The sequence below is a fragment of the Homo sapiens genome, chromosome 3, assembly GCF_000001405.40.
Source record: "Homo sapiens chromosome 3, GRCh38.p14 Primary Assembly".
Taxonomy (NCBI): domain Eukaryota; kingdom Metazoa; phylum Chordata; class Mammalia; order Primates; family Hominidae; genus Homo; species Homo sapiens.
The window spans coordinates 118,272,717-118,282,838 of NC_000003.12; the positions used below are offsets into that span (position 1 = coordinate 118,272,717).

General features: G+C 39.3%; 1 long non-coding RNA gene across 1 annotated transcript; it reads right to left on the reverse strand.

Moving 5' to 3' along the window:
- Positions 1 to 1,441: 1,441 nt before the first annotated feature.
- LOC124909416 (uncharacterized) lies at positions 1,442 to 3,059 on the reverse strand. The gene is made up of 2 exons (XR_007096024.1): positions 2,976 to 3,059; positions 1,442 to 1,572 (listed from the first exon to the last, which is right to left on the reverse strand). It is a non-coding gene; the product is annotated as an uncharacterized LOC124909416 (long non-coding RNA).
- Positions 3,060 to 10,122: the final 7,063 nt, after the last annotated feature.

The window sequence follows — 10,122 nt, forward strand, 5'->3', positions numbered from 1 at the left end:
TTCTCTTCTAGTCATTCTGGGGCTTTTTAATCAACTGTCTGTGCATGCATATGCATCCATGTGTGACATGTGAGAGTAGACACAAATCACGTGCAAGGGCGTGCTTTCTCCAAGTCCTCTATTCTTGTTTACTGCTGTCCACATTTTACCCTGGATTTCACATCATATTATTCTCCTTTCTATTCACTCAAGGTCTTCAAACTTTCTGAACAATAGAAAATTTGCAATCCCTTTGTGGCTATATCACAAAGTACTATAATTTCCATAATTTTAGAGGAACAGGCATCCCAGGGAATGAGGTAGTGGGTGGATGCATCCATAGGGGAGGCAGATGTGCTAAGATGGGATGGGTATTCCTTCCTAATTCTACCAATAAGTGAAGCACAAGAACCACCAGTCTCTTTATGCGTTTAGAACAGATGGAGAAAATGTTTAAACTGCCTCTGATGAGTCAGAAATCCAAGTTCTATTCTGAGTTCTGTGGCTTTGGAAAGCTTATTTATCTCAGCTCCAACTAGTCAAGTTGTGGAATAACTTTGCCTTTAAAAAAAGAGAAGTCATAGAAAGCAGCAGTGCCAACAGCCAAGTTCATATTTCCCCTCTTACTCTGAGGGATAAAAATGGCTGCGCTGGCATCAGCCTTCAGCTTTAGAGAAGAAAGGATGAAGAATAGAAACTCTTAAATATTCCTCTCTGGATCAAAAAGGTATGAAAAGAAAAAAAGAGAGAGAGAACAGAGTCTGTGCAGCACAAAAAAGCACCCTTAGCTATGTCATTGAAAAGACAAGAGAGGAAGAAAATAATTGAAGATTAATGGGGAAAATTATCCCTGGGTAGCTGAAGCACCAATGAAAGAATGATAATAATAATAATAACTAACATTTATGTTAAATTTTGCTCTTTGTTTTATTTGGTCTTGCAATCTTATGAAGAACCTACTATGTGATTATTTCCATTTTATAGGTAGAAAAACCAAAGGCATCAAAAGTCAGTGTCCTCAACAAAGTCACACAGACCATAAGTGTCAGAACTAGAGGATAACCATATTGTAGCTTTAAATTCTCTAAGGTTTCTTGAAAATATTCTTCTATGGTTAAAAGATGGTAAATGGTTCCCAACTGGCATTAGGCCTTTGATGATGTTCACTTGTAATCTTTCACTAGGGCAGCATTAATGATTTCCCCTAATCTAAGATAAATTCTATGAAGACTCACAGTGGGAGACAAAGGAGACAGGTCAGGTTACCAAATGATCTTCCAACTCAGTGTTTTCCAAACATCAATCAAAAATACAAATCACATGTATACCTGTTAAACATTTTGTTTTACTGGGAATCTCTCCCAGTAAGATTCTGATTTAAAGCATCTTGGATGGGCCTGGGAACCATATTTTTAAGTATTGTCTTAGCTCAGGCTGCTATAATAAATTATCATAGACTGGGTGGTTTAAACAACAAACATTTATTTTTTGCAGTTCTAAAGGCTAGAAAATCCAAGATCAAGGTGCTGGCAGATCTAGTTGTCAGGCGAGGGCTCCCTTCCTGGTTTGCAGATGTACATCTTCTTACTATGTCTTCACAGGGCAAAGAGCAAAGAAAAAGGAAGCAAGCTTTCTCATGTCTCTTCTTATAAGAGCACTAATCCCATCATGAAGTTTTCATCCTCATGAACTAATTACTTTCCAAAGGCCCCACCTTCTGATACCATCCCACTTGGGGGTTAGAGTTTCAACATATGAATTTTGGAAAGAAACAAACATGGAGTCCATAACAAGTATGTACGCCCATGTTTTTCTTTTTATTAGAGAAGATTAGAAAGAATTGATCTTCTTAACGCATAAAGCTACAATTGTGATTAGAACAGTAATTAACTGAAAGTATATGTCATTTTAATATTTTTAATGCCTGCTTCTTTAATCCAGACATCCCTTCCACAGCTTTTTATCAATCCTATTTGTTATTTTTGTTTTAGTAAAATTACCTGGTAATTAATGGGATGTTTTGATATAATATGATCTGTGAGCTTGCTGGCTGTATGTCTGAGCATTCTGCCCTGTGTTCACATATCACTTGCATACAAATATGTGAGCCTAAAGCTCTGATATTTTAGTTTAAATAATCTGGCAACCCTCTCTAGCATTTAATGACCCTTGCTCTTAGGAAAAGAATTTCACATACATTCTAAATCTTTAACATGGCAATTTAGCTCATTTTGAGAGTATTGCTAGCTTTCTGTTATTGATGTTTACTGCCTCCGTCCTTTTTTAAATAGATGGGGTATAAATTCTAGTAGATAAATAACCAAAAAGCTAGGTTGGAAATACTGTATGGAAAACCAGATGGGCAAGGTAGGGGAATCCCTGCTGTTGATCACTGTGTTCACTGATGAGGATTTATGGAGTTTGGATGGAATTGATTCAATGTATAGGCATTGAGTGAGAACAGATGCAAGTTAAATTACAGCATGTGTGGATCATAGGAGTTGTCAGAGGAGGAAGTGGTGATAACATAACAATTTAGACATAAAGAAGCTAGAGGCTAAATAAGTAATGGTAATATAATTTAGTTTGGTTAGCCTTAGCAAGAAAAACTAACAGGAATAAAATACAAAGCAATAATGATAACAAAAATACTAATAGCCAATATTATTCAGCATTTAACTATGTGCCACAAATTATTCTAAGCACTTCATATAAAATACCTCAATTAACCTTGAAATAGGTACTATTGCTATCCCTGTTTTACAAATAAAGTATTCAGCAGGAAAACCATCAGATCCTAGGCTCTTCTATCTTACAGATAAAGAAACTGAGGCAGAGAGAGTTTAATAAATTTCACAAAGGTTAAGCAGCTTATAAGTACCTGAGGTAATTGTGTTGATATGCAAATAATATGTGATTTGAAATTCTACCTCAAGGTAGGTAACTGAGCTGCATACTTTATGCCAAATCTCAGGTTCCCCAGCGTGGATGCCTACCATTGCCTTAGAGGGTCTTCTCTTATTGAAATCTGCAATTACCACCATGATAACTAACTCCTGGCTCCCCAGTGAGGCCTCTTCTGATATCTTCAGCCTACCACCCCAAAAGGGAATTCAGCCCATTGAAGAATAGAATGGGAATAATGGGAATTGTTAAGTCATACAAACAAATCCAAAATGATGTACTATGATGGAAAATTTCTACCAAATTGATAAAACATACACAACCAGTCTTTACAATTCAGAACCAAACAACTCCGTGTCCTTCATAAATTAGAGTGATTAAATCTAATCAAAGGTAATGACTACATGATCCCAGGCATAGCTCATCTACAGTTTTTGAATGTGTGAAGTCTTGCTGAGGAAGGGTCTAGAGCCCTTTAGGGATTACTGTCCATGTCCTAGATGCTGCTTGAAAATTAAAGCAGACCTGTTCAAAGTCAGTACATCCATGGAGAACATTCAGATCTTGTCTAACACAGGTACTAAGCAGCTACAATTTGAAGAGCCTTTTTGCTTTTCTGTTCACTTCCTCCATCTAGTTTGAAAAGAACTCAAGAATTTTGGTTACATGAAGTACCCTCTTTACTTCTACAAAATCTCCCTTACAGCCAAAAAGAAATCCCCCATGGAAACAGTTGTAATGGGGTTTGAGCTATGATAAGATATGCACATTTATGTGGAGAAGTAAAGATTGATTGACTCTTTTACTCTATGAAGAGAACAGGGTTATTTATCGATTGGATGTTTTATAGCATCTTTCCTCTGAAAGGTTCAACTTACGCACAGTTGGGGAAAAGTTTGTCCAAGGGATATAATTTATGAGAGGGGAGGGAAGCAGGTGAGGGAAATAGTGAAAAATCATTAGGAAATATGTAACTCCCTGAAAGACCAGGTATGGGAAAATGCACATGTCAGAGAATATGTTATCAATGAGCTTGGAGAAAAATCTGAACCCTAGTTTATCGTGAAATGAATAAAGGTCAAGATGCATGCACACATATGCACACACACACAAATGGGATTTTAGAAATCATTAACTGAAAATATTTGTAATTAAAGTAATAAACACACATGGAATCTGTGACCACCAAGCAATGCTGCCAATGACCAGGGCCCAGATTTCCAGAGCTCAGTAACTTCAGATTCCTATTTTCCCTTTCTCCCAGCACAGGGAGATCTATAGATGAGAGGGCCCCCAGCGGGTTTGATGCATCCCTATGTGCTTCTCCCAGACATAGTGTTCCACCCCAAAGTTTTCTCCCATTCTGATCCTTCAGCTTTGAGAATAAAAGTTTAGGCAGTCTTTCCAGTCTATGTCTAATGTCCTCTCTGCCACAGGGAGGAACGGGCAGAACATCAGTTATCTGTTTGAATGGGGAAGCGGGGGATAGGAAAAATATAGAGAGCAAGAAATAAAAATTAATAGGTCAAAATATTATTCATTCACACATGTGCACCAGCACAATGTAAGGGACAGTGAAAGAGAAAATTGATGGATATATGTAACAAGCAAAGAGCTAAAGAGCTGATGAAGAAACAACTAGCTTTAGTTGAGGGATTTTTTTTTTTTTTCAACAGTGCGCTAGAAGACAAATACCTTAAAATAGCCAAAAACTCTCAAGGGTTTATTAATCCTTATATGCAAACAGAGAATAAATCATCTGTGGCAAACATGCCACTAAATGGCTAGCAATATATTTAAAGCACTGTAATGTCTTTCCTCAATTAATTACTTGACTACAACAATGCAAAATGATTCACTATTTTTTTGGCTTCGCTATCAATGTTAGGGAGAATACAGACTTAATTTGTCCCTTTAGTAATTATAGCCTCCATCTTTCTCAGACAAAATAGGCAAAATAACACCCAATTACCAAGGTTACCAATAGGCTTAAATGAGAAAACACACGTGAATTTACTTTGTAAACTTTAACCACTGCAAAATATGGTAGTTACTGCTATGTGATCCTTTACATCTCCTTAACATGCACCTATTAGCTACCAGCTCAAATTTTCACCCCCACCCTCTGCCACTGTAGACTTTTCTTACCCACCTGAAATTCATGTCTGTCCTGCCTACTATCATCAAGTGATTGGTTTTTCCTTGATGCACCTATCATTGCCATCGGTTCCCTATGCCCATATGATAGCTTCATCTCTTTGCTGCTGATTGGCTGCTGTTACAGGTGATGGAGGCTGATGCAGATGGATTCCAGCAGTTCTCATGAGTATTTTATGTGCTTCTGCTGATTTACAGCCAGTTCAGCATTCCTTTAAATGGCCATAAATTGGATTGATGTCATAAATCATATCCAGAGAAAGTGCCTGAGTACCAGCTCAGGCAGCTATGCTAATGTCTGTGAAAATAACAAAGAAACATCCTCATTCAGGCCTGACTCTACTGCATTAAAAGGCCAGATTGTAAGGAGCTGTCAGTTACTGAGAGGAGAAAAGGTAAAAGGGGGAGAAAGGTCTTTGTAGGGATTATTAATAACACAGCCAGGAAGAAAGTATAGGTGTGTGTCAGTGAGAATAAACAGGGGGGAGAAGAGGGGCCATGGGAAGAGTGATAAAAGAGAGTGCTGTGTATGGAAAAGATAAATGCAAATGAAATATACTGTATGGCAATGGATTATATCAGTGGTTGATATATGGGATCGAGTATCAAATTGTTGAGCTGGCACCCATTAATGTGATATAGTGGACTTGATATGCTGGGCGACGGCAGCCCTGGTGCAGGGAAAATAAAGAACACACTGCAGTCTTTCAAAACAATGGTTCAAAGAAAAGACAGAAAATTATAGCATTACAAGTTTATGAAACTAAAATTGTGTGAGATAATTATGGCTTCTGATAGGGTTCATTATTCTTTATCTATTGGCTCTCCAATCTCATAATGAAGAAAAGGGATCTTAAGGGGAGACTATCTGTTTGTTCTACAGGGAGGATCAGGGTGGGAGAACTTTTCATTCCATCAAGGATAGCAAAAGTGACCCAGAAGTTTTCTCTGGTGAATGAGCTCCCCCTGGACATCTTAGCCGGGGAGGCTGGAATCCCCAGACTACCTCAATAGAACTGTTTTGAACCAGCAGTCATTTTTAGGATTTCTAGGAATTTAATTTACTCCCAGAAATTGCTAGTCTGGTTCATTTACTAATTCCTTCATCAGACCTTTATTGATAGCCTACTATGTGCCAAGCACAGTACTGGGGCTTCAGAAATTAATGCAAGGAAGTCTTTGAAACAGTTACCTATTTCTGGGTATCTATCCCTTGGCCTCTGCATTTGGCTAGTTTGTCACACAACATACTGTGGCTGGCCCATTTAAAGAAAGTCCCGGGACACAATACATAGACAGAGGCCTCCAAACCACTCCCAGTGATTTCAAGTCCACTGCTGGCTGTCCTTCTGCTGGCTCCTGAGTCCTGACTCTGTACTCTAGCATGCAGCACCTGCTATGGGAACTGAGATTTTCATAATTGTTTGGACTTCACTTTTTGGCTTATTGAAGCTTAATTTCCCACTCTGATTTGGCTTTCCCCATGCATCTCCTATGGCTGAAGGCTAGTGGAGAAAAGTCTTCATTGAACACTCCCACATCCTCATTCTCCTCATCACCACCACCATGCACAAACTCAAAACCAGCATCCCATCAGCCACCCAGCCTCCCCCACCAGGAACTGAGTATTCAGACAATTTGTTCAATGCTTCCTTTTAATGGACCCTGAAACTATACTACCTCTTTTTTCTTTCGTGCACATGTCTTCATCCTTGGTTTCCCCCTCATTTTGTGCATTCCACATGAGCAATCTTATCCACCCCTCTAAGGATCAAATTGCTTCCCCAATGGCCTATCTCCCCAAGTTCTCCATTTCCTCTTTCTTGCTCTTGAACTCTAGTCCCAAGCATCAGGCTGAACCACCTAATGAACAGGCTCACCTCCATGTCCCAAAGGCATGTCAAGCTGAGCAGAGAAAAGCCAAGCCTACTCTTCCTAATGTGTCTTCAGCCTCTGTTTAGAGTATGTCCGTCTTTCTAGTCACTCCAATTAAAGCATCGGAGTCATCCCCCATTCCTCCTTTTCTATAACCGGTCTCACAAAGTCATTTAAAGAAGTTCTTCTAGTCCTACCTAAGGCATGTGTTTGAAATCTGCTCCTGACTCTATCTTCTGATAGCCACTGCCTGAGATCAAGCTCTTTCCACCATGGTACTTATCTCCCCACTTCTAATTTTTTTCCCATTCCAATCCATCCCGCTTACTGCTAACTGCATATCATTCAAAAACATATATCTCATGGTATCACTCTTTTGTAAAAATTCCATATTAATTGCATTATTTAAAAGTGTAATAAATGCACATATAGTTGTTTACTTGCTTGAAAGTAAAGAAAGATCATATTACATAGCAGGCATTCTCTATGGCACAAACATACTTTCTAATCTCATCTCAAAACACACATCCTCACTACAATTTACATTGCTCTCAACAGTTTGAAATACTTGCCAATCCCTTAAAATACTTTAGGGTACTAACCAGGTCAATGAAGGCAGCCCACAAAAGACACAGACTTTCCAGAGTGATTCCACAACAAATCTATTTTCCATTTCTGCAACCCCAGGCAGAGCCTCCACAAGATTCAGAAATTGACCTAGTCTCTCCAGAAGGAGACATATGACATGCTTTTGCCATGACCCTTGGGATTCTTTGGCCTGGAGCAACTTTCGAGTTATCAATAGGGATAGATACTCTGTGCATCCCAGTTCAGACACTAATCAGATTGGAAAGTTACCCATTTCAATAGTTCCCAAAAACAAGATTGTATAAGAATCACTGCAGAAATTCGAAAAATACAGATTCCTATATCATATAGAAAGTACAATTTAGAGCTCTGGAATGGGACCCAAGAATATGTATATATGTATTTCAAATAACCTCTCCCAGATAGCTCTGAGGCTCAGGCAAGTGTACAAATCAGTGGTTTGAATTAGCTGAATAACAAAACCAGCTTAATTAACTGGCATTCACATTGAAGCAGAGGAATTCAAAACAATAACAAAAGTTGGCTGGGGGTGGGAGTGGTGGTGATGAGGGGATGAGGAAGAAAACTAAAGCCTCCAACATTCTTTTCAAATCCCAGAGATGATAGCATTTTATTTTGAGGCTGATAAATAAAAGATAGCCTCTCCCATCTGGCTTTACGATATGGAAACATTGTTAATGAGACATTTGTAAAAGTGCCCCAGAATCGTTAAAAGAGCGTGACTATGGTTCTTAAATTTTAAAATTCGAGCACCAGGTTGCTGTGTGTTCTGTCTTACACAAATGCTAGAGTCACTAATGTAGGCACCTGGCATTTCCAGAGGATCGTATTTGCATTTCTCACAAATTAATGTTGTTTAAAACCATTGCAAATCTCACTTTATAGCTCACAGTTTTCCTGTTTTTAAATAATATCAGTTCTAACCATCTATCCAACCCTTGTGCTTATTCTAGCGTGGCAGTTGATTAACCTGGCAGCAGAGCCACCATCATGGTGGCTCAATGGCAGCCGAAGCACTGCTGAGTGTCCAGGCTGTCAGGAGTGGTTGCAGAAGCAGCTCTGCTGAGGAGCCCCCTATCACCACCATGGACTCATATGTCACATTCTTTTACCTGGTTAACTTGGTAAGCACCCAATCTTGAGTGGCATTACTTTGGATGCCACTGAGAACTCCCCAGATACAGTCATTTTTCAGCATGCATAAGTAGACTTTTCTGTAATTGAGTTAACATTTGTTAATCTGCATTTTAAATGGCTTTCCTTCTTTCATCAAGACCTTTCTGGACTTATGTTTCTTTATTGGCAAAAAAATAATAGTAACCCCTTTACTTCTGCCTCTTGTTAGTGAAGGCCAGAGACACAAATAACGTGTATCTGTGAGTGAATGAGCTAGTGAGTTACTGAATCCTGCTGAGAGGTGGCTGATGTCGCCTTGGGGTGAGGAGAATAGTGAGCTCTGTAAGACATATGACAGCAATTCGAGCAACTGGAGGAAGAGTAAAGCAAGAAGAAGCCTGTGGGTGCATGGCACATGGCCACACAGAAGCTGGTAAAAGGACAAAACCTTCAACATCAATGGCAGAAAGAATGACAGCAGGAGCAGAGATTATGAAGCCCGGAATTTTTCTTTCTTCTAAGTTCAGAATCACCATCAGTGTCAGTAAGTGGGGACTGAAAAAAAAAAAAAAAAAAAAAAAAAAGCATAGCCAAAAAGGCTGAAGAGTGGTGATGGGGAAAGGATATAGAGGAAAAAAACTGGAAAGGTGCAGTAGGAAAGAAAAAATAAAGGCATGACTGCTTTTGTTGTTATTGTTGTGTTGGCCATTTGGGCAAAAGGAAGATAAGAGAAAAACTCTTCTGCTTCTGGGAATTAGAAATACCCCTTTAAAAACGTTTTTAAACCTAAATATCTTAGCCTTACCAGTCTGAGGCTATAAAATTAATATTCAATTATGATGTTTGAACTCCCAGTCTGTTTAACTTTGTAAAGTCTTACCTTTTACCAAGTTTCCCTTCCAAAACATTGCGAGGAATATGAAAATGAATGGTAAATCTGACTTCTTCTGCCTGCCACCCCACACTCTACCCAGGCCTCTGATTACCCAGCCATGCTCCTCCTCCTCCTCAGACGGCTTTCCTCAGGTGGCTGCAGCTTGGCTCAAACCCCTTCACTCTCAATATCCTCCCTCCTAGCATCTTCCCCACATTCTCATGGTGGAAGCCGGGAAATCTGCAACTTTAAAGAGAGTTTTACAGATGGTTTGGAGATAGTGAGACACAACCTGAAGAATAACTCATATCGACCATTAGATGTGTTCATGCTCTGAGTGCACGGACCCAAGTCTTCCTTTAATGTGCTTTAATAGTTCAGACAGCCCTAACTTACACCTTATCTGTCTCCTTAAAGCAGAAGCAAGCATTCCTCCCTCACCCTGACCTAAACAGCTCCAGGCATCTCTGTGTCTCAGTACCAAACTGTCAAAAGAACCCAGGAAAAGGGAAACAGTTTGCCAGTAATGTCAACTTCAGGTGACACTCAACCTCCTCAGCTACTCAACACTCAATACTCAACCACCTCCTGTGTGGTCACTTATTGCC